A 23,208-nucleotide genomic window follows, 5' to 3' on the forward strand; every position below is an offset into this window, starting at 1 on the left:
TCATTTATCACATGTCTATTTTGGTACTAGTTTCATACTGGATTGATTATTGTAGTTTATCACATGTCTATTCTGGTATTAGTTTCATACTGGATTGATTATTGTAGTTTAACATTATGCTTAAGTGTTAAATGTTTGGTAGGAATATTTTTCCTTAAAATCACTCTAGTTATTTTTGCTCATTTACTCTCATAATTAAAATTTAAAATACTATTAAAATTCCAGAAAATACTCCCTAGTTATTCTACTGGAATTATAACATGCCTGAATACAGATTTATTCAGAAAGAATTAATGTTTTTCCCATACTTAGCTCTTCTGTCCATAAACAAGAAATGTCTCTCCGTTTTTTCAAATATGTTGTATGTCTCTCAGTAAAGTTGTCTTCAAACAGGTTCAATTTATTCCAAAATATTTTAAATAATTTTTGCCAAAGAAAAAAAGCGTTCCAGTTCCCATGTATTAACAATGACTTCTTAATACTATGTAGAAAAGTCTTAATGTTCTAATATTAATGTTACATTTTATCTTTCTAATATAATTATTGTCGAGATCAAATAATTTGAAAATCATCATGAAGTAATTTTTCCCTTATAGTAATAATCTTTGTCATTTTTGTTTCATGTTTATCACACTGGTTAAAACTGATAGAATATTAATAATAGTGGCAATAGGTTTGATCCATCTCTTGATAAGAGTAACTATAAATATAAAATGTTATAGACTGAGAAAGATGTGCTTTATCATGTTAAATATTTGTTCGATTTCTAGTTTTTTTGTTTTGTATTTGTAACATAAATTAGGCTAATATTTTTATCATATGACTTTACACAATCTTATGAAATGTTTATTATTGTCTTATTTGACCTATTAGCATGATTGTAGTATATTTTCTAATGTTAAACTATAATTATTCCTTTCAGATAGCTTAAAGGTATTTTATGCTAACAAATTTCCTTCAAAATCAGACTATAGTGTTCAGAGACTCTCAAATTGTATATTTGGAAATTTTGCATTAACTCTTTGAAATCAATAAGGTTTCTAAAGGAAAGAAGATGCTGATAACTTCTATCTATGTACTGGTCTCTACAATCTAACAAACGTTTCCATATTATTCTTGGAATATTGAGCACTGAAATATTTAGATCACAACTCACTGCTGAGTTTAGGGAAGCTGCTTTCTTCCTCTTGGTGTCAGATAATTCAACCCCAATACAAGGGTTTGCATTACAAAATTCTGAAGTTGACTCTTCTCTCCAATTATCACAGATCCTTCCTGATTCCTGTCTCCCTCAGGCTAACACAAACTCATCCACCTAAAGAAGCAATGAGATTCAGATACCTAGACATCACCCCTCTCTCAGGTTTCCAACTCCCTGCTTAAGCTTTCCCCATAAGGCACTTACAGAAACTTTCTAAATGTCACCTTTTTCTATAGGGAGTGGTCTGTGACAACCAAGTTTGTACTACTTCCTCCTGTACACTGATAATCTGGAACAGATCTGACATACAACCTAAGTTTGGCTAATGAGATTCAAGCTTCCAAGAAGCTGACATTGAGACTTAAAAAAAAAAGTTAGTTTTAACAAGTGTCTTAAAGAATAGCTAAACCCTGGAAATGGAGATCCTCTGCTATCCTGTGAACCTAGAAGAAGAGAAAACCAATATAAAGAGAAACAGATAAAGCAGACAGACAGAAAGACAGAGATGCTTTTTTTTTCTTATAGGTTTTTATTTCTTAGGACCAGTTCTTTCTTTAGACTCGTTTCTATTCCCGCTATGCGGTTTCCTGATGCACATTCACAAATTCTTAATTTCAGCTTAATTAAGCAAGTTTTAGTTGGTTTCTCAAGTTGGTTGGTTACATACAATCAAACAATTCAGATTAATATGCCACTGTGCTTGACCTGCCCTGATATGAGCTCAGCTATAGGGCAAGGGAGTAGGGAGGTAGCTCTGAAATTCTATCCAACACTTTCTTTATGATAAATAAGGTTCTCATAGCAACAGAAAAATCTTTGATTCTATACAAGATGTACAGAATTAATATTTTATTGCCTATAGATCAGTCTGGAGTAAGGAATTGACAAGTTCCTAAAATATCTAACCTCCTTTTCTCTATATTTGTTGATAAATCTTAGGGTTTAAAAATTATAGAAATAACATTTTGTTCAGATAGCAGCAATAAAAGTAACCCTAAAAGGAAAGTCTTTGTTTCCTTCTGGCTTCCCAAGTAGACAGAAGATGTTAAGAAAACTTGTAAGGAAAACATGAGTAATTCTGGATACACTGTGATTCAGAATGTGCTTAAAATACAGATGCAGAAGATGGTTCAGGTACCTTTTTTTCAGTGATTTTAAAAAATCAGTTTCAGTGATTACATTCAATTAAACCACCATTGTAGCTTATGTCTTTGATGCCAATTAGTACTCTACAGTTCAGCAGTTTGACTGAATATTCCAGCTTTAGTTAGTTATTTTTTAATGAAATAATTCTGGCCTGAAATACTAGTCATTTATCACTCTAAATTCTAACATATTCTTTGCTTTGTCAATTAAATGATACACTGGAAGAAGCACAATCTTTTACATATCTTTAAACCATTGCTTAAGTAAGCATACCACATACCTGGTTACAATGTGAGAAAGATTAAATTTTAAGAAACAAACAGTTCTCTTTATTTTTGTACCAACTGTCTGATGAGCTTCCAGTGCTCTGGCTACTTCACCTTCTGCTCCTATAAACTGGAAGCAGAATCTTCCTCCACACCGATAACGTGGTTTTACTATCCCAAACTAAAAAGGAGCATACAAAGAAATGTATCCTGATATCTAATTATGTCAAAAAGAACTAATTTAACAACAATTTTATCTATACAAAAATTAAACATTGGGATAGCCACTATTCAATTTTAAATGGGCATTACTAAGTAATTCCATCTAATGGGTCAATTTTTTTAATTCCTTGAGAGTACCTTTTGTAGCTCACTGATCCTGGCAGACAATCTAGAAGGCCACACTGTACAAACTTGGCAGTTGCCTTATAAAGCTCATTCTTTGACAACTGGCAATAGCTAGGCTAAAAACCTTCTAATATATAATGTTTTTTGTTGTCGTGTATAGTAAGCAGCTCTGGTTCTAGTCAAGCACATCTGGGTTCTTCAGAAAATTAAAAATTGGTCCTGAGCAAACCTTGTTTTGGCCAATGGCCTCCTTGCACTTTTGGTGTTAGGGAGGTGGGTCAGCTGTCCCACCAGGTGAGAACACTGGCTATCACCAACATAATCAACTCAACTGGTTTCCAATTAACAACATAACATAGCTGTTTTCTAGGTTCCTAACAGCTAACACAAGCTCCAAAAGTCTACTTCCAGCTGCTATTAAATCCCTGCGAAGAGCAATGATATGTGTGTAAGTCTGCAGATTGTATGTGTGCTTCATAGAGCCACTGGGACTCTTCAAGGTACTTCCGAGACCAGTAAGCAGGACTAAGGAAGTGGACCAGCCAGGGCTATGCCAATCCCTTAACAGTTCTTGTTTTTTAACAGATTGAAATGTTAGATTTCTGAGTAGGATATTTTTGAAGATAGAGTCTTAAAACTAGAGTATAAGGGAGATGTTCTTCATTTATTCTTCAGAGTATGGTACATCCCCGTATCATCAGGGCTCAAAAGAGTTATACATCTAAATCAAGGATGATTATCTTCCTCCTCCTTGGAAACATCTTTAATGAAATATACTATACTTTCAGTGTTATAAGAGTTACATCATTTCTTAACTTTGATTGTGGGTACAAATGCAAAACAGCCAGAGAAGACTTCTGCTTTTGCTGTAAAATTTTGTAAAATAACATTGCTCATTTGGCTGTCAAAGTCGCATATGACACCTTTCTTTTGGAAATAATTTCCAAGAAAATGTGTTCTCTCTTGAAAAATAGGTAAGCTTGCTTCTATCATATAATGAAAATTATAAATCACATTGTCGGTCCCTTTATGCTTTGACTGCTTAAGAAGCTCAAAAGTTAATGATTTCATCCTTTATTCTGCTTACCATATTTGTTTCTTCCTCCTTTAGTAGTTTTGATGGTGTACTTTTATTTGAACAGCTTTGTGTGTCATTTTTATCATAAACAGAATGAACATGAATACATAAGTCAATAATAAAATTAAAATGTGATGAATATCCTGGAAATCACTGAAAATCAACAGAATTATGTATTCTATGATCATTTGCTTATCTTCAGGTCTCTTATCCTGTATTATCAGCTACTGGAACACAACCAAGACTCAAGCCCAGCAAAATCAATCTCCAAAGAGCTCAAAGAGATTGTCTTTTAAGTTCATATACTAAGATTTATTTATTTTCCATAACCCTCATCTGAGCTATATGTTGCCTTATATCAGACACAGCACAGTTCTATTATGCTCCAATAGGTTCTTGTTGCTTTCGAGATGAAGAACAAACCTTAATAATGGCCTATAAGACCTCACATGGTATTCATGGCCTGGCCTATTGCCCTACCCTTATCTCAGACACCTACTCCCTTCAGATTTCATCTGTTCCTAAATCCCTATATTAGGGAAATGTCCACTATTATAAACTCTAAATCCAGAATATCTCCCTTTTCAGCACTCATTGCAGATTACATAATTATATTTTTGTGTGCTTATTTGATTAATACCTAAGTTCTCCAGGAAACTCGAAGTGCCATGAATGTTTTGTCTATGTTCCCCAGTAAAGTATCGTCAGCACCTGTCCTAAAAACAAGCACAGCAACAGCAGCAGCAACACTTTGATAATGTAAAAAAAAAAAAAAAAAAAAAAAAGTGGACAGAACTCAAAGATTATTGGAGTCTAGAGGCAAATCCTTTTAATAGCCATTACATTAAGATATTCTTTAACAGTCTTTAATAGTATCATTATATTACAGGATGGTATAATAATTATAATAATTGAAGTCATCAAGGAAGGGTTAGGTTTTGATCATGGTTAAGATGAAAGACAAATTAGTAATTTGCCTTTAAAATGCTTTCTTTAGTGCTTCTTTAAAAGACTTCCCTGTCTTCTGGAGGTGAGCTTCAGTTCTATGGAAACTTCACTCATCTGCATTATTCTTCCCACTTCTTAACTAGCAATATTAGATAAAGGAAGTGTTCCCCAACCTCAGGTTATGGTAAACAACCTTGTATTGCAACATTCCTCTTTTGATCAATTTCATAATTGCATAAAAATTATTTTCAAACTCCTGTTAGTGTTCATATTCCCAACAAAAAGATTAATGTTATGTAATGTTTCACAAATATTCTGCCACAGACGATGTGTGTTGAATTTAAACCAAATTCTGTCTTAGGTTGCCTTTAAAGGAAAAATGCAAAAAAAAAAAAAATAAAGAAGAAGTTTCCACTTGAATTCTAAATTGAAGATGACCTCGTGCTTTTCTGAGAAACGCTGGCAACTGAGGTCACTGGAGTGTGTTATGATAGACGGTGCAGTGCTGTGCGTGTCTCAAGGCATGTCCATTGTATGGATTAAAGCCAAACCAAAAGTATTAGACAGCTCAGAGCATTCTATCATTTCATTTGAAAATAATGATCAAAGTCATGGGCAACAACCATTGCAACTCTCATGAAAGAACAGCAGCATTCAATAATTCCATCACTTCAGACAGGCAGTTGGGCTATTTTCAATCAAATACTGTGAATCCAGTATATTCTGTATCAGTTTCTCGTGGCAGTCACAGAAACAACATTTCTGCTTTTACAGTATAAAAATCCTGCCTACATTGTGTGCATCCCTTTGCTTCCGAAGGACTGAGTCATTGAGAAAAATATAAGGAAACAGAAAACACAGAAACTTAACACTCGTTGAGTATAAATATACAGCAACTCCAAGTCATCCATTTTCTTCAAGTCAACCTACTGTTTCAAAAGCTTAAAATCAGTTTCAAAACAAAATGTCTACAATCTCTTCTCTAATAATGACATGAACAAAACATTTTCAAAGAAATCTAATGTCAATGGTTTCAAATAAGCCTTCTAAGTGATCTCTTCAATAGTGATATTTAAGTAAAACATTTTGATTGACAGAGGCTTATTTTAAACTTTTGCCTCCTTCACGCATAGATTAATGGTAGCATAAAAAATATGTTTGAGATTCAAAAGCAGGTGGAAAAACTCACACTTCTAATCAAAGAAGAGAACTGCTTCTAATCCTGTGTTTTCCACTCTGCCTGGGTATCTTCTATATATAGGAGGAAAAACACACCCTGTCGCTTTTAATGTATTTAGACACACACACGTTGTAACTTACCATTAAAATTTACAGCCCGAATATAACCAAGTAGCTCTTTCCCATCAATGGTACTCATTCGTGGACAAAGGCCAATGTATCCAGGGCAGAGATCTTTGTGCATATTGTGCAGGGCGTAAGCCATGGAATATACAGCATCAATTACAAATTGGACCTTTCCTTCCTGTTCATAAGATGAATCCCGAGCAATTCGCTCCAGCCCTGCAAAATAAAAAAGTAAAAACCATCAGTTGATGTTAGATTCCAATAAAAGACAGCATTAGAGCTAAGATTTCCATCATTTGAGGAACACTTAATGAGACACGACTATTTGATTTCACTTCTGATTAATTCTATACTTACTGAGTCAGGTTTTTAAACTGGATATTAAGTTTATTTGGAAAGAGTAAAACTATTTCATTAGCAACAAAAAGATATAAAGTAAATAAAAGATGTATAGTTTCATTATCTTTTTTCCACCTTATTGAGTCCTATTATATTGTGCATTCTAGTAATTACATAACATTTTGGTAGTGGCTTGATCTTTTAAGTAAAATGTGCAGTGTGTGATTCTTGCCATCTGTCTCAGCTCCAGGAGTGTCATTTATTAGTGGCCCAAAGTAAGGTCTTTCACCACCTACCAAATCAGTTCTAATTTTGAATGTGCTCCATTTGGGAGCCTTTTTGTAACTTTTATATGACAATACTCCCTTAAGTGACCCTGGTTATCTTTATAATAATCATTCAATTTGTTTTCTTTTTGAACTCAATTTTCTATTTAGAATTTCTGTTAAAAAGATGTAGATACCTCAAAATGAATGTCATTCAGAATAAATGTACCTGTGTTTGGGCATATTTAGGGCTGCTCATTGGCACTGGAGATTACTTTTAGGTTGGTGTTTATAATTTAATATGGAAAAGAAATATATTTTAAATGAAATATAAATGAGAGATCAACTATGATCCAACATTATCATTTTGAAAGCGAGGAAACTAAGACTCATGGAGATTATAATTACATGGGGTACATGGGGTACATAGGGCAGGTGTGGGAAGCATTCGTAGGTCTCAGACTGCAAGCCCAATATTCTCTCAATCCCCAGAAAAATTTGGTAGATGGCAAGAATGTTGGGCATACAAGAAAAAATTATGAAAGGGACATCAAGAGTTTATTAAGGGAACAAAAAATGATCTCCTGTCACTTCTACATCCCTCACCAACCCTTACACAACTGGTAACACTTAGACAAAAGCAAGTATTTTAAACTTTCCATGGATGTTACTAACCTTGAATAAATTGTATTTAAATTCAACAAATATTTGTTTTCTGAACATCAATGCATATAACCTACATATTTAGAGAGTCGAATTAACGTGGTTTATATTTGTATATTTACACTCTGAAAAACTAGTTTTTTTCTAAACAAAAATAGTGGTCAGTTTATTTATTTTTATTCATCGAATTATTGTTTTTGTTCTTCCTCTGGTCTTAATCACTTGTGACACTCTGTGCTTTTAGATGCTCTTGGTTGGTATTCTGGTCTCTGTGGTCTGTCATGATGCTGAATTCTGCTCCTCCCTGTTTGGCATAGGTTTTCCGATTTTCTCATGTCTCAACTTTTCATTCTCCAAGGCTGAGTTTCTTCATCCCCAACCTCAGAATCTGCTAATTGTCAATTTTGTCAACTACTAAAATTTCTACAGTCTAGAAATATAAATCGGACTATAAAATGTTGACTACAGAATCCAGAACATTAGATCAATTTATAATAATCAGTTTACTTCATTTTGGAAGTTAGCTTTTTGGAAAATTAGTTTTCTAAACCTTTCTTGCCATCTAACTGCTATCGTCCCATATTTCCAATGGCCTACCATATCTCTACGTAGTCTGCTGCTTCCATATCAAACAATATATGTAAAACAAGGCTATCTCTGCAGGGGATTCCCTAAAATATCCTACTGAAAGTTTTGCAAGTTTGCGAGCACAAAGAGACAGGGAAGATTACTTCTCAAAAGTTATATTGTCTCCTTCAACCTACCCCTTAGCTGCATGATCTAAGCTAAGATCCACAAGACATGGGGACTATGTTCTCTCCCTATCCCTAGGTTATACTTTTGTCTCCTGAGTCTTAGAACAACACTGCTTGTTCCCAGAATCATTCATCAAGTTTCCTGTGAAAACAACCCTTTCCACTTCTGCCTAAAATTTCTCTCCCATGGCTTTAACCACAAAGTAGATCATTCATAAGTAAATACTGAAGGATGGTTACAGCAACCAAATAGACGCTGTTATTTCCGTATAGATTCTAGTCTGGTAACTATCCCCTCTTGTTTAGTCCAGGACTGAAGGGCTTCTCAGGACCTAGGACCAAAACCTGAAGAGCCCCCGGAAAACCAGGATGGTTGCTTATGAACAAAGAGGCAAGTGACGAGGAAATTTCAGAGAGAAGACTGAATAACAACTTTGAGGATCAGTCCCTAGGTCTGGATGGATATCCCTGTGTTTCATTTATTTTGCATCGCTGAACTTGATAACGGAAAATAAAGACAGTGAGGTTCAGGGCAGTTGTTTCCACACTTGGGTCTCTCCTTAAGTACAGATTTCTCAGCACCACCCCAGACTTGCTGGGTCAGAATCTCCCTACTTGGGACATGAAGGATCTGTCATTTCAACAACTCGCCAAGAGATTCTGGTGCAACCAGCTGAGTCTGTGGGCCAGCTTTAGGAAATTTCTGCTCTTCCATACAGCAATCCTCAAAAATACCACTATAGATCTATTGTTTAGAGAATTTTATGGTATTGAAGTATGAAAATAAAAATAATTCTTTCATGATATGCACACCCCGAAGAAAATCTAATCAAATTCTTCCCCTTTTCTCACTAGATGAAGAGTCAAAGAACACAATTCCCAATATTTACGCATTTCAAAGCTTCCACCATGTCCTTAGACACACAGGGAGGCCTGGAGCTGATGACAAGGGTAGAAGCCAGAAAGACACGAAAGATCTGCAAATAAGAAAGAATTTCCCATTTCTCAGGATAGAGTTCAGTTTTCTAAGTTAAAATGTCAGAGGGCTAATTTAATTGTCCTGAAATTAGGCATATAAAACTTCTAACATCAATGCAATGATGGCCCAATAAGCAGGAATTGAATGTGTTCCTCCTGAGAGGGTGGAAACAGAAAATAGAAAGCAGTAGGAAGAAAAAGATACAGAGAGGAGGGAAAGGAGGATGCAGCAACACAGAGAAAGGCTTGAGCCCAAGGTACAATAATGGCAGAGGGAAATCTAACGTTCCAGGTTGTTTGTATTGCTGCTCTCTAAACAACTCTGCTGCAGACACATACAAACACACACACACACCCCTCACATACCTCTTCTGTAAATATTATTTGTTTTTAATCTAATTATTTTTTATTTTGTGGGCTTTAAAGAAAAGGGAGGACTTCCATGTTTCCATTACTGCAGGGTGGTGAAGGGTGGAGAGTGGACACAGAACTGGCAGAAAATGCCTAAGCCAAATGGCTTCAAATGAAGCAATGACCACAAGAGCATTAAGGAATTTGGAAATTTTTTACAACCCATGGAATTCATGTAACAGCTAGACATGTGTGAATGTTTTATAGTTTCAAACTTACTCTATCCTAAAATGTTCTTGATTTAATATATTATCATTTTAGTGCCAGTGCAACCTCAATTTAATATATTATCATTTTATTTTATATATTATCATTGTATTTTAATGCCAGTGCAAACTCCCTGTCAATTTATAAAGATACTCCTCAGCATTCAATAATTTCCTGATAAATTATAATCGACATGCTCCAATTTAATACATATACTCTTCCTCAGCATTTCTTAAAAAATAAACAGCCTGGTGTGGTGGCTCACAGCTGTAATCCCAACATTTCGAAAGGCTGAGGTGGGAGGATTGCTTGATGTCAGGAGTTCAAGACCAGCCTGGGCAGCAGAGTGAGACCCTGTCCCTACCAAAAAATAAAACTAAAAATTCAACTTTATATCCAATAGGTCTAAATGAACAATCAAATACACATAATCTTATTAAAGAAACATATTTAAAATTGTACTATTCAAATTATTCATTTTCTTTTCTAGTTATAAACTCCAATTATTTTGACTGTTGATTAAACATATTCAACTTTGTACATTTTTGTTCTTTTAAAGAGTTCAGAAGTCTGCCTAGTAACTGGTGCCACATGTGAATCAATGAACACTGTAAGAATCTCCCCATAAATCAACATAAGCATATGGTGACAAACTGAAAGACTGAATACTATTACCATTTCTAAACTTAAAAGTGGATCATTTGATTTCTTTTCAGGCTGTTTAGACAATGTATTTTTCTGTTCCTTAACACTTCAACCTCATGATGACACTTAAGATTTTACAGCAGCTAGAATTTGCTCCTCACTTCCTATATTTGATTCTCTCATTCATCTAAAAGAGGAGTTTAGGAAGCTGACAGTGACTCATCAACCTAATTGGCTGTAAAATTTCATTATGCTATAGTTTCTAAAGTTAGTGTTAACGTATTGCTATAAAGTGCTAAATATCGTCAAAGGCTTTATGTCAGCTAACCATTTTAAATATCACCGATTGTAAAGTTGTGATGTGTTTTAGTGTATAGCTTAAAATTAACAACATATAGCAAAGTGTTTTCATGGTGAGAGAGGAAGTCAGCCTCCTAAATTTTATGGGAAGATTGTTTTACATCTTCATTAATGAAATCTAAATCTTGTGACTGGATCTCAAGTTCCTGGAAAATAATAAATTCTTACTGGTCTAAGAAATATCACACATACTTTAGTTAAGGTCTTTCACACTTTGTGGTATATATTCTTGGGTTTTGTTCCTTTTCAGTAAAAAAGGCAAATTGACTTAAGTTGGCAAAACATTGTATATGTTACAATGTAAGTTCCTAAGGTGAGCCTAAGAGAAATTTCAGACTTTGATGCATTGTGGTTGCAAAGCATTGCTTTCTAAGAATTTCCCATTTCTCAGGATAAAGTTCAGTTTTTTAAGTTAAAATGTCAGAGGACTAATTTAATTGTCCTGAAATTAGGCATATAAAACTTCTAATATCAATGCAATGATGGTCCAATAAGCAGTTGGTCAATTCAAGTAAAAAACAAATGGAAGTCATACCAGTTGCTTAATTCTGGGGAAATCAAACATCCAATTGGTTGCCTTTTTCTTACAACCATCTCAGCTTGGAGTATAAATAATCCCACAATCTAAATTTGTAGATTAAGAAGTATTTTTTAAAGTTTCTCCCTGAATTTTTCTGAATTATGAAGCAACTATTTTAAATAATTAAGTCAGTTTCTTGGAGTTGCTCTGGAGAGAATGGTAGAGGAAGAAGGGAATTTGTGAACCTGCTATGAATAAATACATTTATGCATCTAGGCCCAGATTTAGAAGTCATTCTGAATTTCACAGGAGCTTCTCTGCCTATTGATAACCAGGAATAAGACTGTCATGCTTTACATTGTGCTTTTCCCAATGTGACACAGATATATTGTTACTGCATAGTGCAGTGACTTTTAAATCCATGAGAACCATGCCAAGAACCACATCACACACTAAAGAGTGAGCGCTATCAAGCTGACAAATAGGTTTTTTTTTTTTTTTTTTTTTTTTTTTTTACTAAATTTAAACTGATTTGGGTTCCAGGATACAATAGGGGGAACATAAGGTAGAAATACAAGCATGTTCAATTATACAGGAATATCTCCAGAGCACTAGGATCCACACATGAAAGTGTGCACCTCCCATACTGAAGACAGATGAAAATATGAACCCTGAGATGAGACAGAAAGGCAAACTGACTGATAGAAGCAGCTGGCTAGGGGAGAGAGAGGATCAGTCAGGTAGATCTGGATCCAGGTCCCAGCTGGACAGCTTAGAAGGCGAGTGGCCTTGGACACCTTCCTGAACCATGTCACTAATCCTGGGCCTTCAGCTGGCATTGCCACTCTTAGGGACCTCTGTAATGGGGTTCCTCATCCCTCCAGCTTCATCTGCTGCACCACACACCTCTCTGCTCCACTCTTAGGTCCTTGAATATTACATAAGATCTCCAAATGCAGGCCTTTATTCAGCTGTTCACTCTCTTCATTCCTTGCCTAGATGTTTCCAAGCCTCAGGGGAGATGTCACCTCAAATTTGTTAATATTTAATGATTTTCTTCCCAAACTTCGCCTAGATTAGATCATCGAGCATCTTAAATACTAGGCTTAAATACTGAATATTGTTCACTTGAAATGGAGAACTATGATCAATATTTAAAATTATTGCTGAGAATAATGTGTAAAATCAATTGAAGCAAGCATAGGTTGAAGGTAGAGATAAGTTGGGAGGCAGGTTATGCAGAAAGTGGAAACAGGATAACCCAGGGAAGTGAAAACAAAGGAATGAGAGAAAATATGTTTTAGAGGCCAAATTGACAGAATCTAACTATCTGATTAAATATGGCAGTAAATGTCAGGAGGCAATGAACAACTCAGGGTTCTGATGCTAGGTAGTAGAAAATTGGCACCATGAACAGTTTGAAAAATCAGGTGAAGATTTGGTTAATGATATCTCCCCAAGGGCATCAAGACCTCAATTAAAAGGACTGATTTTTAATGTTCTGTGCTATTTATTATATCCTCTAACAGAGTATAGACTTTATATAGATGTTTAATTATTAAAAGAATAAAAGGCCCAAATGTTTAGAGTAATCACATACCAATAACGTGGTTGATCATTTATTTGCAACACTGGCATAATCAAAGAAGCTACGTTGGAGTAGAGCACCTTATGCAATGTTGCAGTAAAACCAACGGCCTGAGAAGCCAGACTTGCATTCTGGTTCTAACACCACAACCAATTAACTTTGTGGCCTTGGGCAAAACATGATCTCTCTGGCTTTTGGTTACTTCTCAGTAAAAATTAGAGAACTGAACAAGATGCTCTGTCAGGGCCCCTCCAGCTCTGAAATTCTGGATTCTAAGGCATGTTCTCTTATTTCTAACTGCTTCCTCCTTATACTTTCTAAGATCCCTTGAAGATTATTTAAGTAATCTTCAAGTAAGTGTGACAGAACAAATACCACTAAACCCAATTCTCCACAACAGTATGAAGTATCCTGTAACTGGGCTACTGCTGAGACCTGGAAATTCTGCACTAACAAAAATACCAAATGTCAACCTGGATTAATTTTTTCCCGCATTCAGAGTTTTGGTTCACTGTGTCACCATATTTCCATTATTCTTAGACTTAGAGCCATTGAACAAATCTGGTTCCTCAAAAAAGAGAAGATTTTAGGTCTCTTCTTTTTCTGATATGCTGGCTAAATGAATCAATTATGGAAAATAAGGTCAGAGAAGTGAAAGGGAAGAGGGAGGATACAAATAATTAAAATGGTAAGAGTACTTCACAAATAGTATCCCTTTAATTCTAAATTATTACTACTCCTCTTGTACAAATAGAAGAACTGAGATTCAAAAAGTCAAATAACTTACCCAACATTGCAAAGTAATGGCAGTAAACGGCAATTTAAAATCAGGTCTACGTGACTCAAAACCTCTGCCATTACCGCTATTCCTTCTCCTCTGTGAAATTTCCTTTGATTCTTCCAGTTCAGGTTTATCTTTTGCTTCTCCAAATTCCCCTTTTACTTACACCCACCAGACCAATGATTAGCTTGTCTCTTAAATTAACTGTAAATGCAGGTTCTCTACATGTAATGTGTTCATGCACTTGTGTTAATCTTTAAAGACAATAGTGTAGTAGGAGTCAAAAAATATTATAAAATATAAACTTTTACAGAAATACTGACAATAAGTATTAACAAATACTAACAGAAATGCCAATACTTATATTGAACTACACTTAAAAAGGAAAAAAGTTTCTATAACATTTTAAGCATTTTTCTGAACTGTTAAACAAACAAAAAAAACTTCTTATGAATTTCAGCCATCCACTTATGGAAAAGTTGTCATAAAATGGCTGAAATTCCCAAGCAAAAGGACTGGACATTTGTGATAAAGACCAACGCTAATAAAGCTTATACATTTATCTTTATAAAAATGACTAAAGTATTTTAGTCTTGGAAGGTGGTGTGTCTGAGTCTATGCCTTTATATGATTTTTCTTAAAATATAACATCAAACTCAAAAGAGAATTTCACACCCAAGGTTCTGCTTTGTGGATTCTTCAGCTGGCTCTGTCAAGGACCTGTAGAGACAGATGTATTGGACTAATGAAGTAATTTGAGCCACTACCTTATCTATTTACAAAGGGCAGAGAAAATTAGAAGACAAGGGTCCTTTGCTGAAAATCACCTGCTATCTTCTTCTGTAATTTAAATGTAGCAGCAAGAACTGAAGGCTCTTAGCTGCCTGAGGACACATGAGGAGACACTTGTAAATCAACCACTGAAGAGCTCTAGATCAGTTCACAATAACATCTCTCCTTTGTGCCTGGCAGGAAATAGAAAGTGCTTCAGGCAGGTGCCAGGTGTCCCCTTCAGGTATTAAAAATTTCCATGCAATGCCCTAGAGTTTCGAAAACACTGAAAAACCTAAGGTAAGTGGCAAATAAGATTAAGAGTGTATCTTCAGGCAAAACAACCAGTTTAAAAGAAAGACTTTCAGAAAAGCAAATTATTTCATAGATATATCCCTAAGTCCCTGAACAAAGAAAAGCCTGTTTGATTAAATTCAATTATTTGCATTTTTCTACATAATTATCTTAGATCATACACATGAGAGACAAATTTTGATTTAAAATAATTTATAAAACTTGATATATCATAGTTAATGTTTCTCTTTTTTAAGGCATATTAAAGACACTCCTCCTCATACAATTCAAATTTGGGCCTGGAAATTCCCACTTCAGCAGAAAGGACTTCTAATGCTACCCCCACCCCCAATATGTTACAGTCATTTCAGACCCTATGACTTGGCTCAGGATTTACCTTTTAAAAATACAGTCTATTTTTTAAATTACAAAAGTAATACATATTAATACTAGAAATATGGAAAATAAAAGTGTAGAAAGAAGAAAATAAAAAAAAATCTATTAGCCTCCCAGCTTAATGACCATTTGTATATTGGTGTGGCGTCTTACATTTCTTTCTTTGCCTCTTTATTTTTAAACATTAAAGTGATATACTCTTTTTAATATGCTCTATTCACTTCATCTATAATGAGAATTCCCCTATATTATAGAAAAGCATGGTTTTTTATCTTGTCCTTAATCTTTCATTAAGATTCTTATCTAATATTTAATCATTCAACAGATTAATATTTTTGCAATTAATTCTTTTGTTATATTCAATGTGATATTTGGGTTGAGATAAGGATCATAAGTTTTTCATTTTCCAAATTGTGAACCAATTCTCCCAGTGTTATTTATTACATGTATATTCATTTCCCAAATAATTTATATAACATTATTTTTAACATATCAGATTTTTATATATTCTTGAACACCTCTCTGGATTTTCTGCCCTAGGCCATTTTTCTCTTAATATGCCAATGCTACATTTTTATGATTATTATGTGTTTATGTTATACCATTGGTTCATTCTGTACTCTATCATACTCTTTTGAAAAATTTCTGATTAGTCTAATAGTCTTTATAACTAATTAAACCAGTTCAAAAAGTTAGAACTTTTATTAGTCATATCAATTTTTAAAATTAATTATGAAAGACATAACATAGCTACAATACTAAGCCTCCATTTGCTAACATAGAGTCTGTTTATTCAAATCTTCTTTAGGAATCCTTAATAAAGATATGTCACTTGCACATTTATTTTTAAGTTAATTCTTCAATATTTTATGTTTTGTAGCTTTATAAAATGATTTATTTTCATTAACTGGTATAATTTATAAATTTCTATTTATTTTTAATACTCAACGTTTTTCTCTCATTTAAATTCTACACATCCTAGCAAGCCCAGATTAAGTCCTACCTCTTCTACACAACACGGAAAAATATAAAATAGCATGGGTTTTGAGACCAGATTAAGATTTTAGGCTCTGCCTCCAAGTCTCTGAATTCTTCACTCATAAAATAGGAATTTATGACCTATGTTGCATGGCTGCTGTGAGGATTAAATGAGACAATGTAAGGCATCTGGCACCTTATGTAGTAAATAAATGAACATCACTATTTGATATGTGAGGCTATAAAATACTTAACCTTCTATAACATACAACACTTTTTCAATTATACAAATGAAAGAGATTACAACAGAAAGTTAAACTCAGTATATATTCATATATTCAATTACTAAGCATGAGAAAGGTAATTTAGTTCTGTGATTGAGACCAACCACCCTGCTTCCGATCTGCCTAGGTTCAAATCTCAATACCACCATTTACTAGTTATGAGCTTTGAGTAAGCCCTTTAACCTCCTATGCACCTTATCTGTAAAATGGGGATAACAATAATATCTCCCCCATAGGGTTGTTGTCATAATTAAATGAGTTAGTATATATATTAGACAATTAAATGAGTTAGTATATACATTAGGCAGTCAGAAGAGTGTTGAAAAGAATAGGCACTACATAAGATGATATTATTATTATCTTTATTATTATCATTCACTGAGCTTGTGTGATATACTAAGCAGTGAGGAGGATACAATGGTAAACAAAAACTGACCTACTCCTTGCTGTCACAGAGTGACACTGGGACTACGATCTGAAAGATAAATGGGAGTGAATTAGGTGGGCAAGGGAAGTAGAGGGGAGCACAGGATGACAGCAGTGGCAAAAGCCCATTGATGGGGGCAGCAGAAGAGTACAAGGAGTGAGGCTCAGCCAGTGAGGCTTAGCAGGGGAAGAAGGAGGGAGGCACAGGTGAGGCCTGACGGGGGCAGGGCCAGATTATGGAACAATGCAAATGACCGGGAGTCTATCTGTCTTCTTTCTGTAAAAGCAGAGGGAAGCCATCAAAAGGTAACATAACCAGATTTCCAGTTCTAAAAGAGCACTGAGTCAAGAGAACAGATAGGAAGGAGGAAAGAGTAAATGGAGTAGGCAGATTGGGAGGTGATTTTATAGTTCAGAAAGGAGCATACGGTGTCATGGGCTAAGGTGGTGATGAAAGTGAAGAAATGTGATTGCACTAGAGACAAAACAGGATTAAAAACAACAGGATTTGGATATGGGCACCATAGCAAAGAGTGGTACCCAAGGGTGACTTCTAGGTTCTCGGCTTAAGTATCTGGACAGATGCCAGTGCTGCTCAATTAGATGGGCAACAGTGTCTAGGACAGAAATAGCATGTCCTGCCAGCCAGATAACTGCACATTTACCTAATGCATGGTCAACATAGTGAGTTTGTTCCTGTTATGACAGGTCAGGGGAATCCCACTAGCCTGCACCTCCTAAAAATTGTATACTCACTTGCCACTCTGAGAATGTAACCTGCCTTATTTGTAGGATATGTCCAAGTTCAAGGTTCCAACACTGCGTTATCATTATTTTTATTACTTACAATCTCCCTAGGTTATAAATTCCAACCCAGGAACAGAGAAAGAGATGGCATCAGAATTGTTTTCAAGAATGTGTCATCATTCAACACTGACTTCAATCATTCTATTTGCAAGTTACTAATAGTACTCTCTCAGGTATTCCCTTTTAAACAAAAAGCTGAATAGTCAATGTGATGACCTGCTTTAAATATAAACATAGAAAAGTAAAACATTTCCCCTTTCCATTATCTTTTTAAGATTTTGTCAACAATGAAGTATTATCACGGGAACACATGTTATAACACCTTAAACCTGTAATTAATAGAAATGCTTATGTTAAAATAATCTCATCCTATCTGCTTTTTCTAAAAAATTTTATTTATTTATTTGTTTATTTTGAGACAGGGTCTCACTCTGTCACCCAGACTGGAGTGCAGTGGTGTGATCAAGGCTCACTGTAGCCTTGACCTCCTGGGCTCAGGACATCATCCTATTTCAGCCTCCCAAGTAGAATGGACCATGGGCATGAGCCACCACGACCAGCTAATTTTTAAATTTTTTGTAGAGATGGGGTCTCCTCATATTTCCCAGGCTGGTTTTAAACTCCTGGCCTCAAGCAATCTTCCCATCTTGGCCTCTCAGTGTTGGAATTATAGGCATGAGCCACTGCACCCAGCCATATCTGCTTTTTTCTAAGCTATCATGACCTATTAGTGATAATAAAATCAATGTAGTTGGTCACACACAGCGTATTTCCAAAATAAAGAAAACATGTAGAAATCAAGTTCATTGCAAATAGTAACAGGAAGTATTGTTTCTTGAGTCTTTATTTCAGTTGAGAGGTGGGTTTGTATACTGTATTGCCATAAACAATATATTATTAATCTGGAGTGAAGTAAAAAAAAATTTGAAACTCATTAACCTAGTCCAATTCTAGTATTCCACAAAGGTGAAACTGAGACAGAGGAACTGAGTGATTTTTTTCCAGGTCTGATAACCTGTGAAGAGGCACAGCCAGGAATAGAACCCTAATCACTTAATTCCATGACTCTTGTTTTATATCATGTCTCTTTTCAGCTTCATTTTCTCTCCCATTGTAATTAAGTTCTATTGAGGATAACTAAAACTTAAGGAAATCACTGAATGAGTTTGCCCATGAGGAATTAAAAGCATTGAAGGAATAATGAAGTATGAAAATAAATGAATAACAAGAAAGTATGAGTAATGGGCAGGTTCTCTCTTACTCCAAAGGGAAACTATCAGTGAAAACCAACAACAAAGAACCACAGCTTTTGGTTTTGAAAACCAAAAAAATCTAAACACAAACGATTTTATAACAGAAACTTAAATTTGTAAATAAAGGCCCATAAGTGCCTGAAGTTTATGATGCATATCCTTTAAGTGAAAATTTTAGGGTGTCTGTGTGTATTATTGGACCACCCAAATGAAAAATGAAAACAATTCTTGCCTCTGTACAATGCAGTCAATCCTCTGGATGACTGACTAGGTCTTTCACTTTTCTTCCCAATTTTAGGGGTCACAGCACAGGCATAGGTATAGTGCCAGTGGCTGATTAAAGCAGGTCGCAATCTGTCTGGGAGAGTTTCTGTGCCATTCTTCATAGGGACAGGGACCAGACAAGATGACCTCCCTTGCTGCCTTCCAATTAATTCAATCAGCCTCTGCTTCTATCAGACATCTTCAGGGATGCAAACTGTATACTCGCTCCAAGTCCTCACCAGGAATCAGTAAACACAGAGGCTGCAGACTGTGTTTAATGAATAAGCAGGATTCATCTTCCAGTCATCATTTTTATTTACAGCTTGTTTCCAGGTATTATTTTCTCCCCCAATGATCTAAAATCCCTATGGAAGACTGGGGCCGGATCTAACTTCTCTGAGCTCCTGCTGGGGCTAATCTGGTACCCAAATACATCTTAGGTTAATATCAATGTTGTTAAACCAACCTAACCTGAATTTCTTTCTCAAGAAGGATGTATAAGTAAGATAATCCCAATTAGCTCTCCATAAATCTTTTTGCTTTAATATTCTGTGAAGAGCCACTCTAGGAAACTATTATGAGATACAGTAAAGTACAGTAAGGAAAACATTGTCAAACAAACTAAATCTATACCTTCTATTTCTGAAGGCATATATTTAGTGAGCCACTGCACCTAGCCCTACCTGCTTTTTTCTAAGCTTCATATAGGCCATGGCCTATTAGTGATAATAAAATCAATGTGGTTGGTCACAAACAGTGTATTTCCAAAATAAAGAAAACATGTAGAAATCAAGTTCATTGCAAATAGTAACAAATTGAACACTGCAAATGTTCAAATAAATATACATAAAAGGTAGAGTTGGTATGGGGTGTCTGCTTTTTGTTTCTCTTCACATGGACTGGCAGGATAATTTCCATAATAGAGGAAATAGATCATCTGAGACTAACTATATTAGACAATGTTGGTACAACAGATCCAAGATGAGGTAAGTGCTCACATGACAGCTCATTTCAAACCCCTCATAAATCAGGAACCTGTGGCTATATTTCAACACTTCCTATACAATCAATAAAACATCAGTGTTCATTAGGCAGACCTCATCTATAGCCTCAGATCAAAAACTGTGGCTTTTGACTACAAACCTACCTTACAATAAGAAGGGAGTGAATTTAACACATCTTTCCTTTAAAAGAAAATAATCTAATATAAAATGTGATGTCCTTCAACATTACATATAAGCTAATTATAGCACATGGTTTGTGTGAGCTTTAGTGGGCTGCATCAGGACCTGGAAAACATTCCAAAACTGAAGTGGAATTTTGGCCCAGTAAGAACTGAATCACTAAGGAACAAACCCTGGTTTCACCTTGAGAGATAATGCATGACCTATTAAATCTCTCATTATTACCCTTGTGTACAAAAACAAAAAAAAATTGAAAACAGTTTCATCTTTAAACTTTCAATGCATGCACATGCAAAAAAAGAATTAAAAATATTTTCATCTTTAAACTTTCGTTGCATGCTTTGAATATCAAAACATATTTTGTGAGAAAAATTATAAATAGAAATTTGATAAATTTAGAACCAATGTGAAAATCATAGCCTGAGATGCACTTTAAACTTATTTCTAACAAATCTGCTTTTCTCAGTGATTTATTTTTGCTCCCCAAATTATGGTACTGGCACCAAGGACTTGGAGAGAAAACAGGTATGATAAAGAGAACATTTAAACATAATGGCACAAATGTACACACGTTCCTAAATAGCCTTCTTCACAGAAGCTGAAAGGGGAAGACCTAACCATTTATTGGGATCTATTATGAGCCTACCACCATGCTAGACAAGTTGGACAGATTGTTACATAATGCTTGTAATCACTCTATGAGGCAAGTATTATTATTACCGTTTTTTAGGAAAACTGAAGCTCAGGTTAAATAACCTGCCCATTATTATAGATTTAGTAAGTGATAAGCCAAGAATCCCAACTCTGCCTGTCTATTCAAAGTGATCTAACTCTTTTTATTACAGCTCAGGTCTAAACAATAAAGAACATGCCCACGTACAGTGTAATGAATTTAGATGAAGATATAAACGTGTTACCAGATCCTAGGAAAGACCAGTTTCAACTAACACTAGTACTGTAAGCACATAGTAACCATTTGGCCTTTGACTTTTTATCACAAGCTTGCGTTCAGCTTCTATATGAGGTGACTTTTCCAGGCTGGAGTGTAGTAGCTACTCACAGGCATGATCATAGCACACCACAGCCGTGGACTCCTGGGCTCAAGCAATCCTCTTGCCTCAGCCTCTCAAGTAACTAAGACTATAGGTGAATGCCACTGTGCCTGGCTTAATGTGTCATTTTCTAATATGTGAGTTTTCTAATAGTCTTCCAATACTTTTAGGAACAAGACAGACTCGGGTATTGGAGTAATCTGGTAAAACACCCTCTTTCGGTCAAGCTCTTTAGAAGAGCCTTTATGCTTCTACTTCCTTATTGCAATGCACATCTTGGCTGCTGCAATTTGACTTCTATCCCAACCACACACCAATGCTACCTAGGCAGACACCATTAGTTGTACTTCATACCAATTCACCACTTCTTACATGGTATTAGAACCCACGATTTTTAGGAAGGCATGACTTGGTCAGAATAAAGACTTTATTTTTCCAGCCTCCTTTGCAGCCAAATTTAGCTGCTGCCAATAGGATGTAGGCAAATGTACAGTATGGTAATTTTTAGGAACCTTTCTTAAAAGACCCGGGTCTTTTAAGACCCAGGTCTTTCGCTTCTTTATCCTTTTTCATCCTGTTCTCCATCCTGCCACCTAAATGGCAGATGAAATCACTGGAGCTCTACCTGTCACCTGGAACCAGGAGGAATTAGAGCCACAACGTGGAGATAGCAGAGTAATAAACTAGAAGGAGCCTAGGTCACTACAGCCTGGGTAAAGCAGTGCCGCTGCACCCTTCCTGCACCACCTCCTCTAGATTTTACCAGACACAAAAATGAGGTTTTATCTCATTTAAACAAATGTTATTTCCACTCTCTGTTACTTTTAGCTGGACACAATCTTATATGATATATAACTATGATCTCCTTGTGTCTAAACCCAAGGACACTAAACATACTCCACCACATTTTGACTTTTAATTTTACCAGTCTTTTGAGGTTTTCTGGAGCACTAGGAAAACCATAAAATTTATAAGAGAAATCTCTCCTCTTATAACTCTGTTATCTATGGCAAATAACAACCTCTTTTGCTTTCACTGTCTCCATCTGTTGTGAAAGAGAGAATAATGACCTCCTACTTCAAAGTGTTGTAAGGAATCAATCAAATAAAAACTACAATTTCTAGTTTTCTTGTGCCCCTTTTCACAGGACACAAGTCACTTAAGATTCAAAATTTTTACATTTGACTTTAAAATACCTATTTACCTGAGTACCTCTTTTCTAGTTTCACCTACTCACCAAATTAACGAACTTTTTAATGAACCAATTACTGTTTACAAAATAAACAAGGAAAAAATAAAAGCCTTTAAAGGTATTCTGTTATTTGTTGTTTCTAAATTCATCTTGCTTTCCTATCTAATTTTAAGACAATTTTGTTAATGGTTCACAAGGGCAGGGATCATGTTTATTTTCATTCATCATTTTATTTCCAGTGCACATGGTAACATCTCAAAAAATGTGAGTGTCCTCTATCCCAACCTTCTATGTCTGCCATTCCTGCAGTGAGGGGTCATTTCCACTGCCATGTTACAAAAAGTTATAAGTAGATTTATGTCCTACCTGTACAGGCCACCTCATGGCATCCCCTTGTCCTTTATTTTTAGTACAATTCTATAACCTATCATGTTCCTTAATAAGAACTAGTTGTTCTACTCTATATTCTTATACTCCAATAATATTATAAATTAATAAGACA

At 35.2% G+C, this 23,208-nt stretch overlaps 1 protein-coding gene across 25 annotated transcripts in view, besides 1 other annotated feature; it reads right to left on the reverse strand.

Moving 5' to 3' along the window:
* Nucleotides 1-23,208, reverse strand: part of GRM8 (glutamate metabotropic receptor 8) — an 814,344-nt gene that overhangs the window by 324,960 nt on the left and 466,176 nt on the right. For all 25 annotated transcript variants that reach the window (NR_163850.1, NR_163849.1, NR_028041.1 and 22 more), the window contains one exon: nt 6,308-6,508. Coding sequence is in view for 22 of the 25 variants with exons in the window: in NM_001371087.1 (NP_001358016.1) it covers nt 6,308-6,508 (201 nt within the window). In the remaining 3 variants the exon portion in view is untranslated. The remainder of the gene's footprint in view (nt 1-6,307; nt 6,509-23,208) is intronic.
* Nucleotides 14,408-14,956: an enhancer, noted in NCBI's record as "OCT4-NANOG hESC enhancer chr7:126418019-126418567 (GRCh37/hg19 assembly coordinates)". NCBI's record gives its function as "activates a minimal SCP1, AML or CMV promoter by ChIP-STARR-seq in naive H9 embryonic stem cells {active_cell/tissue: H9 hESC(naive)}" and the evidence as "EXISTENCE:reporter gene assay evidence [ECO:0000049][PMID:30033119]".

Source organism: Homo sapiens, chromosome 7 (assembly GCF_000001405.40).
Source record: "Homo sapiens chromosome 7, GRCh38.p14 Primary Assembly".
NCBI classification, from domain to species: domain Eukaryota; kingdom Metazoa; phylum Chordata; class Mammalia; order Primates; family Hominidae; genus Homo; species Homo sapiens.